This window comes from Homo sapiens, chromosome 16 (assembly GCF_000001405.40).
Source record: "Homo sapiens chromosome 16, GRCh38.p14 Primary Assembly".
Classification (NCBI taxonomy): Eukaryota; Metazoa; Chordata; class Mammalia; order Primates; family Hominidae; genus Homo; species Homo sapiens.
This window is the reverse complement of record NC_000016.10, coordinates 49,525,971-49,543,805: the sequence shown is the minus strand read 5'-3', so window position 1 is coordinate 49,543,805 and position 17,835 is coordinate 49,525,971. Positions and strand designations below refer to the sequence as shown.

General features: G+C 52.1%; 1 protein-coding gene across 15 annotated transcripts in view, besides 3 other annotated features; it reads left to right on the top strand.

Moving 5' to 3' along the window:
- Positions 1 to 17,835, top strand: part of ZNF423 (zinc finger protein 423) — a 371,756-nt gene that overhangs the window by 315,474 nt on the left and 38,447 nt on the right. The gene's annotated exons all lie outside the window — the stretch shown is intronic.
- Positions 4,483 to 4,983: an enhancer, noted in NCBI's record as "H3K4me1 hESC enhancer chr16:49572734-49573234 (GRCh37/hg19 assembly coordinates)". NCBI's record gives its function as "activates a minimal SCP1, AML or CMV promoter by ChIP-STARR-seq in naive H9 embryonic stem cells {active_cell/tissue: H9 hESC(naive)}" and the evidence as "EXISTENCE:reporter gene assay evidence [ECO:0000049][PMID:30033119]".
- Positions 5,020 to 5,520: an enhancer, noted in NCBI's record as "H3K4me1 hESC enhancer chr16:49572197-49572697 (GRCh37/hg19 assembly coordinates)". NCBI's record gives its function as "activates a minimal SCP1, AML or CMV promoter by ChIP-STARR-seq in naive H9 embryonic stem cells {active_cell/tissue: H9 hESC(naive)}" and the evidence as "EXISTENCE:reporter gene assay evidence [ECO:0000049][PMID:30033119]".
- Positions 15,133 to 16,131: an enhancer, noted in NCBI's record as "H3K27ac-H3K4me1 hESC enhancer chr16:49561586-49562584 (GRCh37/hg19 assembly coordinates)". NCBI's record gives its function as "activates a minimal SCP1, AML or CMV promoter by ChIP-STARR-seq in naive H9 embryonic stem cells {active_cell/tissue: H9 hESC(naive)}" and the evidence as "EXISTENCE:reporter gene assay evidence [ECO:0000049][PMID:30033119]".

Here is a 17,835-nt window from a genome sequence, read left to right as displayed (position 1 = left end):
CGGCTTGCGTCTGGAGCTGGCGCTCTGTGCCTGAGTTCCCACTGGTTTACAGCCCTGGGCAGTCCTTCCTCAGTTGGGCCAGCTGGACATAGGCTCAGCGGGCGACAGGGCTGAGCTGTCCTTGGCGGGGAAGCTGATGGGTTCCACGCTGCCCCCGCCCACCCGCCAGGCGCCCCATTCCTCCCGGGCTGCACTGAGCCTTCTGTGTGCCTCTCCAAAGGACAGGGCATATTTCTTCCCAACCCTCTTAAGACCCAGCCCGCACTGGAGGGCTTCATCATTATGCAAATTAGCTGGATTGGATCCGCTCCCGCAGAGGACTCCGGGGGCAGCAGAAGGACGGAGCTGCCTCTGGAGCGCTGAATTGAGCCTCAGATTAGGCCAGTCGATGGGTGGGGGCTGTGGTGGGGAGTGGGCACGGAGATGGGGCTGGCACCGATGATTTGCCACCCCTGGGGAGGCTGTGGGGATTGGGGGGCTGAGGACTGGTGCTGGAGAAGGCCCGCTGCTTGGGCTTACCCAGGCCAGGCTCCCAGCATTGTTGCCGAACATGGGATGAAGAAAGACATTCTTTTTGGATTTTCTTTGTGTGTTGAGCCCTTTTATGATTCATCAGTAAGTAAATATCAGCTGAGGGGGTGATTTGTTTCTAACAAGCTTATAAAATACTGGCGTCATTTGTGGGCTTATTGGAGTGCTGATTATAAACACTCCCCATGCCCACTCCTCTATGTCAAATTAGCATTCAAAATACAAATATTGGATCTTTGGATCACTTTCTGCTGTCTCTTTGGAAGCTGGTAGGCTGGGAAGGGGTAACAGACCCCAGCCTCAGATGAAGAACATTTCCACTCCACTAGGGGACTTGAGGGGTTGCAGACAGAACCTCTCGCTGCACCCTTGGAAGGGTGGGGGCCACGGGGTGCTCTGAGCTCAGCTGCTCCTCTTGCCTTTCTCGTTGCCAAGTTTCCGCTGACCTGGCTCCTCCCCACCCCCAGAGCCTGTCATCTTCAATCTCATGGAGGACGCAGATCTGGGCAGGCGGCATCTGGCCGGGTGAGCCTGTGGAGCTGCCTCCTCCCCAGGGTGGGCTGGGGCCCAGCCTGCACCCAGCCAGACAAAGTGGTTGTTGAGAGTGTCTGAACTGGCTATGGGAGCCATCACGTGGCAGCCTCCTCATGGGGGGTCCCAGGCCTCCCTGGCATCTGTCCCTGACTCGCCTCCCAGCTCCTCACACCTCCTGGCCTCTGGCCTTCTGGCCATGTGTCACAGCAGGCACATTCCAGCTCACATGGGACAGAACACTGTGTGAGGTACGAGAGTGGATGATGACTCACATCTTTTCAGGGCCATCCATAGGGACCAGCCCAGCAGGTGCATTCACTCCAAGCTCTACAAATGCATAGGATCACTCAATCCTATGCATCAAGCACAATTATATCCCCATTTTACTGATGAGGCCACCGGGACACTCAGTGGCAGAGCCCGGGCTTGAAAATTGGCCTGTCCATTCCACTTGACAGGTGATGGAATAGAGTCAAGGCCAGAGGGAGCAATTTGCCCCCATGAAGGCAGAGACCCAGCAGGGACCAGAAAGCAGATCTGCTGAGGCCTCAGCCCAGCAAGAGCTGTTGAGTGAAGAGTCACTGCCACTGGGAATCTCTGGTCTGAAGATCTGCAAGGCAGGGGCTGAGAGGGGCTGTGGAGCTCTCTGGTCCAACCATTTCCAGTTATAGATAGAGAGACCTAGGCCTAGTCATTACCAACATTGTCTCCATCACTAGTCAGTGGATTAAAATTTTTAAAAAGCTTTTATTGTAGTGTATTACTTCGCTCTCATGCTGCTGTAGAGAACTGCCTGACACTGGATACTTTATAAGGAAAGAGGTTTAATTGACTTGCAGTTCCGCAGGGCTGGGGAGGCCTCAGGAAACTTACAGTCATGATAGAAGGGGAAGCAAACATGTCCTTCTTCACATGGCAGCAGGAAAGAGAAGAATGAGAGCCAAGCATAGGGGGAAGCCCCTTATAAAACCATCAGATCTCGTGAGAAATCACTGTCATGAGAACAGCATGGGGGGAACTGCCCCCATGATTCAATTATCTCCACCTGGTCCCGCCCTTGACAGGTGGGTGTTATTAAAATTCAAGGTGAGATTTAGGTGGGGACACAGAGCCAAACCATATAAATTACAAAGGCTATACATGTTCATTGCAGGAAAACCAGAAAATCCAGCCAAGCAAAAATAAGAAAAACATATCCTGCCTTCCAGAGATGACCCTCTAACACCTTAATGTGTGTCCTTCCAGCAAGTTTCTCAGCGCACACAAGCACACACAAATATAGTCATTCCCTTCTTTCCCTCACTTTTCTTTCTTAACCAAAATAGCATTGTGTTTACTACCTGGTTTTGTGTATTTCCACTTAATTGTGGGTGAAGTGGGAGATTGTTAGTCTGAGTGATTGTTAGTCTGCCTTTTTAGAGAAGACGTTTGTCTCTGGTCCACAGGGCTGTGGACAGAGACTAAATGTTGTTTGTCTCTAGAAAGCCCCCTGCCATTGAGCAATCATTGGCTGAGTGCCACTGTGTGCCAGGTTGTTAGGTGCTGGGAAATGCCTAAGCAGTGTGAGAGAGATGGTGGTCCATCCTTCCTCCCTACCTGTTCTAGGGGAGGGAAGCATAGGTTCTGGGTGCAGAGAGCGGGAGTCCCTGATGGGGCAGACATGAGGGGCAGGTGAGCAGGGAGTGTGCCTGTGGAGCTGAGTTCTTCAGCCGGGTTCTGAGGACATCCTGCTCTTGGCAGGAGGGGCTCAGCCATGGGAAGTTGGGGAGGTGTTTTCTGTTGTCAACTAGACAGAGGGCCACTGGGACCCCCATTTTCATGCTGGAGCTTGTTTCCACCAGCACATGCACAGCCCTCTCCATGGTGTCTTGGATTCCTACTTTTCTCAGCTCTGGATGAGGAGAAGGGAGCCATCCACATGGAGGCCAGGATAGGGCTGGGTGCAGGTCCCCACCTGAGGGTGTGGAGGCATGGATTGGAGACACAGTCTGTTTTGGAAGTGGGATTCAACAGGCTTCACTAAACCCTGGCTTTTGGAATTCTAAATTGTCACTAAGGTCCTGCCCTTGTGCATTCAGGGTGTGATTAAAGCATGAGGTGAAAGCAGAGTAATCGGCTTTGGATTTGCTTTTTCCCCCAAAATCTGAGTTTAACATTGTGGGCCAGGCGCATTGGCTCATGCCTGGAATCCAAGCACATGGGGAGGCCGAGGTGAAAGGATTGCTTGAGGCCAGAAGTTTGAGGCCAGCCTGGGTAACATAGTGAGGCCCCATCTCTACCAAAAAAAGAAAAAAAAAAATGAGTGGGGCATGGTGGCCTGTGCCTGTGGTCCCAGCTGCTCAGGGCTCTGAGGTGTGAGGATCGCCTGAGCCTGAGAGATGGAGACTGCAGTGATCTGTGATTGCTCCACTGCACTCTAGCCTGTCTTAAAAACAGAACGAAACAAAACAAAACAAAACAAAAACATTGTGGATGGGATTCAGGGCCACAGTCTTTGCTGTGACTGGAGGTACTTACTGGAAATTCCTTAGTATGCAGGACCTTGAAATGGGTTCTGGAGCAGTGAACTATGAGCTAGATTCCCCAGCTGAGGCCAGCATTCTAGAGGCTGTGCATGTGTGTGTCTGCCTCTTGGTCATGTCCAGTAGGAAGGGAGGTATCACCCCTCTAGACCAAGCCCTTCAGTGGCACCAGAACATTGGCCCCTCTCACTGGTCCTCTCTGCCCTTCTGCCTGCCCTCTTAGAGCGGCTCCTGCATCCTGGGCCCTGGGTCACTGAGGCTGTTCTGTGGCATGACAGAGGCAGGACAGACAGCTCTGGCACAGGCGGGGCTGAGCTGCTGGGCCTCCAACTCCTGCCAGCCCAGACGTCCATGGCATTTCCCCTGGAGCTCTGCTTCCCCACTCTGGGGTCCCAAAGGACTTGGTTTTGTTTTTTTTTTAGGATTTCTGGGCGACTGTGTTTTCACACAAAGTATGTCCCTTGGCCAGGCCTCCCAGACTCCTCCTAAGCAAGCTGGGTGTGACAGTGTCTCACTGGTCTCTGTTACACTCACACCCCCCACACCCACCACCTTGCACAGTGCCTGCCTCAGGGTCAATAATAACCATGACAGTGATATTAATAACTCAAGCTATTAAGCCTGTTCATCTCCCAACAGTTATGATGTAGGCACTACAATCATTCTCATTTTACATGGTGGGGAACATTGGCCCGGGGAGGTGGGGTTCCAGGATCCCACTGCTAGTGGATGGTGGTGGGAGATTTGAACCTGTGCAATCTGACTCCGAGGCTGCACTTCTGTTCATGTGCTGTGCCACCAGAAAGCTATAGCTGAATGCAGCCGATGAGCAAATGAGGGGGTATGTCCAGCCCTGAGAATGGCATGGTGGCTGAGGTGGTATGGGGTTCCCGGGAAGATGCAGCCCCACCGCGTCACCCCCACAGAGCAAGCCTTGCTCCCGGACATGAAGAGTGGCATCTGTGGACCCAGAGCCACATGTCTGGGTTCCTGCATTTGGGATGGTGTTGAGACCTGGACCTGAATGCTCCAGGGCTGGTGTCCAGAGCCGTGGGGGGTGTAGTTGAGGCAGGACTCTATCCATCAGGGGACAGTGTGAGGGACCTGTGCCTGCTGCCACTGAAGGGCATGGTCTATAGGGATGACACCTCTCTTCCCACGGGACATGATCAAGAGATGGACACACATGTGCACAGCAAACTATTAGCATTTATTGAGCACCTCGTGTTTGTCTGGCTCTGTAAGAAATACCAGAAAAGTGAAAGAATTGCTTTTTCATCCTCAGATAATGTATTAGCCAGGATTGTTTTGGTTGGAAGTTGACAGAAAATCAAGTTAGCTTAAGCAAAGAGAAGGAATGTTTTGAAAGCTACCTTTTTATTTCACATAGCTATGAATAACTTGGGTGCAACGAAAACTCCTTTTTGGAAAATTGTGGCCTGGAGGACAGAGGCAAGGCATCGAGAGCTACTTGAATAAGGGTACAGAATCCGTAACCTAACCCTAGCCCTAACCCTCAGGAATGAGTGAGGCCCTGTGAGTGCAGCCCTTGGGCCAGGAGGAAGCTGGGTGCGGCCAAAAGTAGGGGTGTTAGGTAGGCAGGGCCAGGGCCACCTGGCAGAAGAGTGCAGCTTTGCACTGGGAAAAAGGGAGCCACTGCAGGTTCTTGAGCAGGAGAGGGAAATGATGGCTGTGGAGCCTGGGGAGGATTATCCAGGCAGTGTGTCTGAATGTGGCAGGGGGTGAGGCTGGAGCAGTCATGATGAGGTGGGGCCAGGAGCGGAGAGCAAAGGGTGAATTGCCAGGTGTCTGTCGCATGTGCTTTTTGATGAAGGTGTCTATGAAGATGTCTTTTCCAAGTAGGAAAAAGGCAAGATGCCAGCCAGAGCTGTACGGTGGGGCGTTTTCCTGCTATGGTGTGTGGGCCTGGCACTGCTCACATCTCATCACAGCTAATGGCAGCTGTTCTGCTCGCTGCACCTCGCTGGAGAGTTGGAGGCTGTGTGGAGGTGGCCTCCACCCCCACTCCCCTGCTGCTCAGCAATGAGCCCATTCTTTACCTGCCCAGTCCCCCTCTGCCTGTCCCTGCCTCTCCTGGTGGGGGCTGTCAGGAGCTGTCAGTAAGCTCTGCCTCTGTGGGTCAGGAGTGGCTGCTGGATGGGATCAGCCCAGACCTTAGGCTGCAGGCACCTGCTTGGCAGGTGGGAGGCACAGCCAAGGGCAGACAGGAGGGCTGGCTGGGCTCTGGGAGCTGGCAATGGGGTCTAAGCCGCCCAGAGGTGGCAGACCCCCCATCTGGTCCCTGTGTGCTGGGCCCACACCATCTGAGAAAATGGTATGGGAGGGCTCAGCTCTGGGAGCTGAACACATCAACAAGCTAATGTGAGCTTGGGGCATCCCATCGGCCTCATTTGATCTCAGTCCTGGGTCTGTTGAAGAGAGAAAGGCCGAGCACTGGGCTTGGCCTCAAGAAGGTGGTATTTTGTTAGGGGAGCGAGTGAAGGAAGGGGAGAGGTGAGTAGACTTGAGAGGAAGACGTGACCTCAGAAAAGACCTTTTGAGGGCCCTGTGCACTGTGACCATAAGCCTCGCTATCTTGGGTGACTTTTCAGCCGAACTGAAGAAAGACCCGCTTCCCCAGAGTAGACCCAATACTGGTATTAGCGTCGCAATCATGTGACTACTTGGAAGGAGTATCATTGATTTGAATGTATTCATTTATTCCATGTTGCGTTTGAATTTCCAATTTAGCTTCAATTTTCATTTTACTTGGGTCACAGCAAAAACCCGGCTCTCTGAGACATAGCCTGCAGAAGCAGAGCTGAGAAATCACACAGACCACTTAGCTCAGCATCAGAAATCCAAGCATTTATTTCCTCGATGAGCCACAGGGCTCAGCCGGCTTAAAAGGCAACTCAGTAGTGCTGTGGCCGGTGGGCTTCTTGACTGGTTAGGAGCCCAGGTGCTATTGATCCACCATATGACTTGTTGGTTCAAAGTTATGGTATTTGGGTTACATCCTTCAGAGAAACTTCATGGCTCTGCAGTGTTCCTGTGTTCGTCATATTCTTACCCACTTTGGGCAAAGTGCCCACATAATTATCAGGGTGTAGGTTTATGTTGAACGTTGGAGAAGTTCACATCTAAGTGGTTTCTCAGGCAGGGCAATTGCAATTGCAAGCAAGTGCTAACAGCAAAAGGGCTGAGGTGTTCTTCATAATATTTGACACTCACATTCCACAGTTCAATAAATATTTGTTAATCACTTGTTATGTGCCCAACGCTGTTGTAGGTTCTGGGATTACAGTGTTGAATAAGACAGGGAGAGCCCCTGCCCTCACCTTGCCTGTATTCTAACACAATGCTTTCCAAATGAAGTTTCTAAAATGATGGAAATATTCTGTACTACCCAGAGTGGTAGTCACTGGCCACATTAGCTATTGCAACTGAGGAACTGAATGTTTAAATATATTCAACTTTAATTTAAATTTAAATAGCCACAGGCTGGGCACAGTGGCTCATACCTGTAATCCCAGCACTTTGGGATTTGAGGCCAGGAGTGTGAGACCAGCCTGGGAAAGATAGCAAGATCCCATCTCTACTAAAAATCTAGCCAGGTCTGGTGGTGCACTCTGGCAGTCCCAGCTGCTCAGGAGTCTGAGGCAGCAAGATCTCTTGAGCCCAGAAGTTTGAAGCTGCACTAAGCTGTGATCATACTATGGCACTCCAGGCTGGGCAAACAGTGAGACCCTGTCCCAGAAAAAAAACCAAAAAAAAAAAAAAAAACCACCCAGAAACTAAAGAGCCACAGGTGGCCAGTAACTACTAGATTGACAGTGTGGATCTACTTTTTAAAGCTTTTCAATAGAAGTCAGTCATTATTTTCTAGTCTCATTGTTTATTTTTTTCAGCTGGAGGGTGGTGTCCAGTGACCCAGGTCAAGGTGGACTTTGAGAAAGTGGTGAATTCCAGTTTCCAAGCTGAACTCTGGGGGTTTTTTGCTTTGAGTACTAGTAACTGCAGGAAAAGTTCTGTCTGTATTTACCTGGATGGGGAACTTTTGAAAAATGTTGCTTTCTTGCATTCTGCAGGTGTGTGTTGTGTTTGTGTGTGCCCGTTGGTAACTGTCAGGCTTTTTGACACATTGCTGTTGCTCATTTTAAAAAATGATCTTGGTGGGGACAAAAAATGATGTCGGCAGTAGAGAAAACCCTTGTAGTAGAAGCAGGGGTAATTCATGTGTCCCTGGCAGGGTCGGTGACAATAAGGGTTTTGCAACCTGCCTGTCATGTTAATTGTGTATTATTAGAGGCCATTAATCTGAGGATTATTAACATGATGGATGTTTAGGCAATCGTCTTGTTGAAAACTTTAATCTGAAGATCAGTGATATACATCAGTAGGTGTTTGATGAGTTAAGAAAGAATAAGCTACTTGCTTTTACCTAGTGGATCCCCAGGATGTAGTGGAATCTTCATTTTCTGAGGTGATCAGCCTTCAGTTCTTTACAGGTAAAAGGGGATGTGTGTGAGGAGGGCTGTGGAATGCCTTCTGAAAATGTGCAGGCAGAGAAGTTCTGAGTTGTATAGAACTCCAAGAGTTCTCTTTCCTCGGTTCTCAGTGAAGTCCCGCTTGTTCTCTTGTGTGTGGTTTATTTCATCACTCAGACATCCATTCTCTTTCTATTAAGAAGCTGAGATAGTTACCTCCTGTCTCTTGGTGTTATGTCCGGGACCTGATCTTTGTCTTTTCTTTTGCCAAAGACCACCCGTCATGATTGCTGATCGCTCAAAGAGCCGGGATTTGGATGTGTCTGCTAATGATGTGTCTCTGAGCAATTGCTGATCACTCAGAGAGGCGGGAGGTGGATGTGTCCGCCAGCGTCATAGGAAGTTAGCAAGCAGGACCCTCTGTGATGGTGATGTTCTCCTTAACCACCCAGGGCTGCTTGCACCTCAGTGCTAGCTCCCTGGCAGTGTGGAATCAGCTCTCAGAGCTGGAAGGAGCCTCCACTGGTAATCCCATCCAGGCTGGGCCCCGATCTCTGCGGTTTTTGGGCTCTGAGGCCTTTCAGGTTAGGGAGATTTCTGCATGGGCCCAGCTATGGGGAAGGGCTGGCCAAGGGCCAAGGGGTTGGGGGGTGCATGCAGCTGATCACGCCCCTGACTCAGTCAGGCCCTGCTCTGACCTTCATGAAAATCTCAGGGAATTTCAAGAGAGAGAAGCAAGAAGAACCATAAAGAAATGGGAAACTTGGGTCCAAGAGCATCAGAGGGGAGGCAAAGTCAACTCATATGGCCCGAAGTAGGAAGCTGCAGCGAGCCACAAGGGAACAAAAGGGCTTAAAATCTGGACACGAGTTTCGCCATCGCAAATATGGGAGTGGTGTGGAGGTAGAGGAGGAGGGAGATGAAGAAAGCTGACACAGAAGCATTTTGAAGGTGGAAGTAGCATAGGACGTGCCATGAGAGAACACACAATGTCCCAGGTGCTAAGGGTCTTTAAACATTTACTGGGGTAGGGGCATGGACATGGCTGGCCATATGCCCTGAAAGAGGAGCAGGGTTCTATTGCCTTGATGGCCCCCACAGCGGGTTTGTATGTGCCATGTCACCAGGCCTGAGCATGGAGTTTCAGGTAGAGTCATGTCAGAAGTGACAATGGCAGGCTGGGCGTGGTAGCTCACTCCTGTAATCCCAGCACTTTGGGAGGCCAAGGCAGGCAGATCACCTGAGGTCAGGAGTTCGAGACCAGCCTGACCAACATGGTGAAACCCCATCTCTACTAAAAATACAAAATTAGCTGTGTGTGGTGGTGTGCGCCTGTAGTCCCACCTACTTGGGCGGCTAAGGCAGGGGAATCGCTTGAGCCCAGGAGATGGAGGTTGCAGTGAGCTGAGAACGTGCCATGGCACTCCAGCTGGGCAACAAGAGTGAAACTCGGTCTCAAAAGCAAACAAAAAAAAAAAAACAAAAAAAAAGAAGGAGAAGTAACAATAGCAGTAATAGTTGTGGTGGTAGCATTATGATCAGTATTCTTTAATTTTTTTTTAATTTTAAAAATTTTTTGTGCTCTTGTTAAGAGACAGAGTCTCCCTCCATCACCCAGGCTGGCTGGGGTGCAATGGTTCATAGCTCAATGTAACCTCAAAGTCCTGGGCTGAAGACATCTTCCTGCCTCAGTGTACCACCCACCACCATGCCTGGCTAATTTTTTCCTTTTTTGTAGAGATGGGGTCTCACTGTGTTGTCCAGGCTGGTCTCAAGCTCCTGGGGTCAAGCAATCTTCCTGCTTCGGCCTCCCAAAGTCCTGGAATTACAGGTGTAAGCCACTGTGCCGGGGGTCATGCTTCATATTCTTTACTTGGCTCTCATTTACTCTCATAACAGCCCTGTGAGGTGGACAACCTTCTCCCCATTTCACAGTCAGAGACTGAGACACAGAGGGAAGCGCTTGGCCCAGTGTCACCCTGGGCATCTGCAGCAGAGCCAGGATTCTCCTCCGCGCAGCCTGGTTCTTGGCCATGTTTTTCCCCACTCCCTGAAGGATCTAGTCTTGATGAAACAAGGGCTAGTCGGGGGCCGTCCGCTGAGCTGTCCTGTTTGCTGTGATGGGAAATCTCACAGGGAGTTTACCAGAAATCATTCTCAAGCTTAACTGACCCCTAGCTAAGATCCATCTGACATGGCTCTTGGGAGCAGTTGGTCAGTGGAACCATCTGGAGTCTTCTGATTTGAGTTTCAGAGAAGGAGAGAGCGAGCAAAGTACTTATAACTTAGGAGAGCTGTGTCCTGGAGACAGGCTTTGGCCAGATGGCCGATCTTGCCATGGAAACCCTGGGGTGAATGCTGGGGTGGTTGAGGCAGCCAGCCCTTCCTCGGGTGTGGGACCAGGAAGGAAGGCCTCTGTCCTCCTCCTTTCTTAGCCTTCGTTCCCCGAATCCCATTGCGACCCCCAGGTGTAGAAAGTGATGAACTTCCACCTGGCCTCTCTGTCCAGCCTCTGGCAGAGGGGAGACTTGTCAGATGCTGGAATCAAGGAAGACAACCTAGTGATCAAGCCAGGCTGAAACCACATGCCTGCATAGCAAGCGAGAGGGCAGATCGCAGAGGCCGTCCCTTGGTGGGCCTGGACCAGATGCTGGAAGGCAGGAGAGTCCAGTCTTGCTGTGGTCAGTAGCGATGAAGGGCGAGGCTGCAGGGTGGGGGGTGACCCTTCCCACCCACACCCACGTGCCCATGCGTGGAATTGGCATTCTACCCAGATGGGGCATTCGGTCTCCCCCTTTCTCCTGCCATGGGGTAGCGTTCGTTTGCACATGCGATGTCGGTTTATTGCGGTGTCGACAGCATTGTGGAAGGGGGACGTTGGTGGGTACCTGGGTAAATAAGTATAAATAGTTTTCTTTCTGATATGTGACCGGATTATTTTCCAGTTGATTTCAAGCCCTGGCCCCAAGTGGCCCACAGATCAAAAAAAGATAAGGGTCAGTTACAAGGTTGAGCTCATTCTCCGTTGCCATGGCAACTGACCTCAGGCAACCCTCGGAGGACTACACCCAGCTCCCCAGGTGATGTTTTTACTGTCCACACCATCAATCCCAAGCCTTTCAAAACTCAGACTGCCTAATTGTCAGGGCTCTGTTTTGAAGAGGCTCTGGGTCCCCCGTGGGGCCCGGTTCAGGCTGCCAGAGCTCATTTAGAAGCCTTTGTGAAACACAGGGGACCATACGATGGGTCCCTTCTGGGCAGAATGGCCTGGGAGGGTGCCCCCAGGGGGAGGAGGAAGGGCACAGCCCATCCTCCAGCATTAATTAGGAAAATGTGAGCCCAAAATGGGAGCAGCGTGGTGGGCTGTGCCTTCAAGCCATGGCTGAGCGGTCTTGAGTGAGGAGGACACCGAAGGGTGGAGAGCCCCTGGCACTGGGGGTCGGGGACAGCCGTGATGCGGGGATGGTTTGGGGGAGTGTTAGCCACCCACCGTCAGAGTCTCCAGCAGCCTCTTCAAAGATATACTCGCATCATTTCCATCCCAGGAGTAACCACAGGAAATATTTTTCATTGCTGACGATTTTTCAGTCTTTTGCAAAATGTGGACAAAAAGTGACTAGAAAACTTCCTGCCTTTTAAGAGATCCTTCCACATAGAATATTGGTCAAAGCAGTGGGACAGCTCCCAAACCCAGCTTCGGGACAGCAGGATTCCAACAATATCAGCGTCCCTAAGCCCCTTGTATCGCGCTCAGTGGTTCTCAAGCGTTAATGGACGCCCCAAACACGGGGGCACCTTTAAAATGCTGCAGCTCTGGGGCAGGCCTGAGACTCTGCATTTCTCTCAAGCTCCCAGGTGCTGCCCGGGCTGCTTGGCAGGGAAGTGGGTTCCCGTGGGCTGCCAGAGCTGGGGGTGTTGGGGCTCCCATGGTCATCCTCCATCACCACTCACCTGCTCCCAGCTCTTGCCCAGCCTTTGACAAGGGACACTCCTCAGACCCTGAGTTCTCCTATGACCCTGGTTGACTCCCAGCCTAAATGTCACTCTCTCCTTCCCTTCAGCCTGGACTGGTTAATTTCTTCATGGCATTTAATGACAGATCAATAGATAAACGGCCCAATCTGGCTGCCCAGATATTATCACCTGCCCTCCTCTTTCTGCCTGGGGGTCTTTGTTTCTTACAGGAAACAAAGGACAGAGTCTCCCACAGCTCAGGTTCCTAGCTCCTGTTCTGCGCTATTTGTGGTTATCTATGGGGATGGTGTCGGAGGGGTCCTCTCCTGGGGTCACCCTCACCTCACCCTCTTGCCTCCTGGCAAGATTTGCCTGGATGAGTGCTGGGGCCTTTGCTCCCATGCTTCCTCTCTCCAAGGACCATTTACCGCGCCCATTTACAGTGTGTGTGTCTGAGCCCCAGGACCTCAGGACTTGACCTGATACTAGATGCGCAGGCCGCAGGCTGTCCCTGGTGCTGTGGAATGTCAGTCTGGGGCATTTATTTCTGGGGCTGGTAGTGGAGGGGCCGCAGCTTGGCCAAGCAGCCTGTGTATTCCCTGCCTTGCTTCCACCTGCAGACACACTCTTGGAGAGAGGAGGTGCAGCCTGGACTGTCCCACGCTGTCACATGCAGGGCTACCTCCTCCCCTTCCTCAGGGAAAGCCCCAGCCCTGCTGCCAACCGGCGCTTGTGCTGGCGAGGGGACCCCCCAGGCTCAAACATGGAGATGCGGAGGGCGGCTCTGTCTTCCTTCTGACCAGGATTTTTTTGGGTGATCAGGGAGCAGGGGTGGCTTGCTGGGTCCCAGGTTTTAGGTCTTGTGGCTGTTTCTTGAATTTTCTAAAGCCAGAGAGGGCTGCTGGGGGTGAACAGCAGGGCTGCTGCTGCCCCGCTCTGCCCTGCTCTGCCCTGCCACATCCCTGTTAGGGGCCCTGCCTCTCTAAGCGTCCCTTCCTCTTCTGTCAGCTGAGGGAGCCTCTCCACGCCCTCAGTCTTGGAGCAGGCTGTTGTTCCGTGGGGTTCCAGAAAGCGTTACTGGAGTTGAGGTTTTTACAAGCCGAGTCCTGTGAGATTAGGGGTGACCATGGGTGCATAGTGATGGCATTTACCAGCACTCCCACCCTACCGCAAACTCTGTGCTAAGTGCTTTACATAAATCATTCATTTCCTGCTCGTCAAGCGTCTCCTGGTGCCAGATCCTGTTCTAGGCACTGGTGACATAGCAGTGGGCAAAGCAGCCCTCATGGAGTTTATGTTACTCTGTCTGTGTGCCGGAGGGAGGGAGGGACGGAGGGAATGAGAATGAATTAAACAATGAACCCTGTAATATACCAGGTGGTAGTAAGCGCTATCCAGGAATTAAAGGTGGGCCAGGTGCTGGAAAGGACGGGGGTGTGTGCTGTGTTAGATGGGGGTCTCGAGTAAGGCCTCCCTGAGGAGGTGTCCTTTAGGCAGACCCCTGAGTGTAGTGAGGGAAGGAGTGTGGGATGGTCTGGGGGTCTCAGCAAGGGCAGATGTCCTGTGGCCAAATAAGACTGCTTGGCTGCCATACAAAAGCCCCGTAATGACTCTGCCTATTTTCTAGTGGCAGAAGCAGAAGCTCAGAGAGGCAAAGTAACTTACTCCAGTCCACACAGCGAGTGAGTGGTGGAACTAGGGCTCAAACCCAAGTGTTCCCGGCTCTAGCTTTTGTGTCCTTCATTGCCACATCCTGGATGTAGGTGGCTAGTCATGCCCCTAGTCAACACCAGGCGGAAGTCATTGGTCTTCTCCTAGACAGGTGTGTGCATTAATGATGCCACTCTGGGGTCAGCTTTCCCGAGGGGGGTTCCTGCTAAGAGAGGGGGTAGGCAGGGACTATCCGTTGTGGCTGGAGCAGGTCACGCTCAGTGCACCAGAGCCCGAGAACAATGCCCCGTCCACACCCCGCTGCAGCCCGCCGCTCCTCCCTCCCAGGCAGCAAATTATGGCCTCCGAATGTGTGCCCAGGCCTGCCTTTGACATCAGTGGGGCCCACCTGAGCTTCACCTTCAGGATTCTGATAATCAGCTCTCTCTCCTCCTGGCTTCCCCCAAGACCCGTATGGAAATAAGTATGTGTCTGCCAGGGATCAAATGCTTTTGGAGACAAAAGTCGGTACCAGGGACATTACAGGGAGCTATCATCTCGGCACGATGCTCTTCCACAAAGCCCTCTGCTCCTCTTTTGGGCTGACACAGTTTCAGCCTGAAAGGTTCCAGCAGGCTGACTTGGTTTTAAGCAAAAGCACATCCTATTATTTTTTTGAGAAATGAAGTGTAAAATTAACACTTATTCCTGAGCAGAGGAGGGAGAAAGGAGAGACAGGGACTTTGGGATTTTCCTGCTTGGCGGGTTGTTTGTTTGGCAGTTTGAGTTTTTATTTATTTTTATTTTTTTTAATCATAATAAATCAATAGATTTCCTTGTGCCAGCCTCGACTTATGGGGAACAGGAGGCAAGATCTGAATTTCAGCAGGTGAAATCTGCATTTCACTTTACAAATGAGCGGGGCTGCATAATTCACTTGAGTTGTGTGGGTCTGTCTTATGGATGCCTGTCATGTGCTATTAAAAAAAAAAAAGGCACAGAAAAGGAAGGGAAGCAATTGTGCGTCTTAACTCACAAAATCCTCCAGTCCCCACGCTGGGGTGGAGGGGCCTGCAGGCTCCCAGACAGCTTTGTCATTCTGCTCCAAGGTGTCGGCCGAGCACTGTGCGATCTTATATAATTCAGGAAAGTGATTCTCGGAGGGTGCCACTATCGGCGGACCCTGCATCTTGGGGTGGAACGAGAGGTTGTCAGCGCCTGCGGGGTGAGAGTGATGGTGCTAGCAAATTCTATCAATATCCATGGGCTGGCTCACATTGGGTCACCAGCACGCAAAGGAGTGTTTGTCACACTAACTAGGGCAGCCCCTCCCCGCCCTCTCCACCTCCCCGGCCCTCCCCCTGTTTTCCTGGATGGTTTCATAGGCAGAGATACACGTAATGGACACCCAAGGGAGTACCTCTAACCCCTCCAGTGGGGAGAAGGCCTCGTCTTCAGAAAGATTTGCAAATCAAAAGGTCTTGCCTTGAGTGGGAGCGAGTCCCAGCTCTGCGGGAACCCTTCAGGCTTTATTCCATCCCCTCCCTTCACTTTCACTTTTTGCTTGTTTTATTTCTCCTCCCCTCTTTCCCCAGGTTTGACTCTCTTAAAACACTTGGGGGAGAGAGAGGAAAGGGTCCCGAGACACACAGTGGTCTGTTGGGCTCTTGATCTAATTAGCCTGGAACCTTACTTTGACACTGGTTTGGGGCTGTGATCTGCTTAAATGGTAGCCGTTTGGGCCCCGGACGGCTTGCAGCTCCAGGGCTGCCTGACTGTGCACATATTTATGAACATGGGCGCTGGGTGTAGCTGCGGCTATGAATCAGGGGGGACCAGCTGATGAATTGCTCGGCACTCGGAGAACGGAAAGTGACTGTCAGACATGATTTCTCTGATTTATAAGTTGCAGGAGGCTTCTTTGTCCTCTCGGTGTTTGTGTATCAGATGGGCCCGTCGCCATTCACAGCCAAGTGGTTAAAGGCCCCCGCTCGGCAGAGAGCGGTAAATCCTGTTTGCCGTCTCAGCCCCCAGAGCCCCTAGCTGGGCAGGGAGAGAGGGCCCAGCCTGGGGACGTCTCTCCTCTGTGAGTATTTCCAAGCCCCTCCTGCAGGCAAGCCCAGAAAATCTCACATGGTTACATGAATCAAGGGTCATTGTGCCTAGTGAGGGAGTAGTCGTGTGTGTGTGTGTGCATGCACACGTGTGTGTGCTCATGAACTGGAATAGTCAGGGCAGGCTGCCTGGAGGTCATGTACAATGAGGGGTACAAGTCAGGGCAGGCTGCCTGGCGGTGGTGTACGATGGCGGGGGTACATGCATATAGGAAAGGTTTTGTATCCTCTTCTGCACCGCCCCCATCTGGCTGTGTTACTTGAGTAAATGGTCTAATTCTCCGAACCCATTTCTTCTTCCCAGAAATGCAGTTTTCCAAGTAAGCTGGGTTATTTCTGAGATTGAAATATGTTATAAACTATTCTTACAGAAAACTCTGCACAGTTGTCAACCTCACATACCCCCTCCCTCCTTAATGTCCACGGGGTGTCCTCATTCTAATAAGGTCACATGTAAGGGTGGAGTCTCTTTCTTTCCTTGATCCTACACCCTGTGCCAGGCACTGGGCAATGTTGTTTGTGCAGGGGGCAGGGGATGCATTGGGGGGTCTTTTGAGGCAGCCCCCCACACTGGAGGCCATCTCTAATTATGATGAACGTCTCCCCAAGGGAGGTGGAGGACGTGCGTGGGGCCTGCAGGGCGAGCGTGCTGAGCCTGCCCTGTGTCCCAAAACTTGTCAATGAATTCCTTTTCTGCTAGTATAAATGGAAGATCTGTTTGAGTCTCTGTCGGGTGTATGTGGCCTAGTTGCCAGGGCTCCAGGGGCATGACAAACACCCGGTAGATTCCAGCCAGTGGGCTATGTGGGGCAGACCCACCTGTGTGTGCACGTGTGTGTGTGCGCCTCTGCGGTGGGGTGCCCGGGGGTGCGGGGGATGGCTGGGCCAGGGGGAATGCCTGCTGTCTCTGCCAGCCCCTGCCAGGGCCTAGGGACCCAGGGACTCGCCAGGAGCCTCAGCCCATCTGTGTTCATGTCTTGCCACCAGCAGAACCCCTCTGCTACCTAATTCTTGCCTTTAAGGGCAAATCAGAGCACCTGGCGCCTTCAGTGAGGCTGGTTCCCTGGGGGAGCCCAAAGGGGAACCCGTGTCCTTGGCTGTCCCAGATAATACTCTCACCAACACTGACATGCCTGGCAGTAAACACTTATTGAGCACTTGCTGTGTGCCAGGGTCTGTTCCAGACCCCTGTGCATGTATTAGCTCATTTAATTCTCATAGCAACTATAACAGAAAAGCTGTTATGGAGTGTTTCAGACAGAGGAAACTGAGGTACAGAGAGGTTGTGTGACTTGCCTAAGATCACCCAGTAAGGGGAGGGACGGATTCCAACCCCAGGTGATGTGAAGCTCAAACCAGGGGATTCCCCATCCCCACCACTGACCCCTGGGCCCCTCTGTCCTCCTGCAGCCCGGGAAGCAGGGAGGACAGGTGGTCCCCATCTTACTGCACATGAGCTTGTGCCCACAGCATGCTGTGTGGGGCTGAGGAGCCAGAATTTGAACCTGCTGCTGCTTGATTGTGAGTGAGGGCACCAGAGCTCTGAGCCTCCTCGACATTGGCAAGGCTGGTGCTCAGGCACTCTGTGTCCCCCGGCGCCTTTGGGTGAAGGTTTGGGGTCTCAGCGGCTCCCAGGTGGGGAGATGGAGGAGCTGTGTTCTGGTCTGAAGCAGGATGGCGAGTTTGCCTGTTGTCCATCATCCACTGCATAGACCATTTGTTTAAAAGAAAAGCAAATAAAAAGAGCGTTTGGTGCAGTATCTTCCATGCTGCCCGTCAGTCTCGAAGTAAAATTCCAAAGTCCTCCAGGGGCTGACAGGGCTTTTCTTGTGCATCCCTGTGGCCTCTCTGACCTCACTCTTGGCCCTCTGAGCTCAGGCACTGTGTTCCCATGCTGGGCTTCAAGCCTGTCCAGCATGGCATGGACCCACCTCAGGGCCCTGCCCCCACCCCTCTCCTAGAGTGCTCTCGCCATGTATTCACATCACCTCCTGACACTGCATTATGTGCTGATGATTTTGTTTATCATCTGTCTACCCC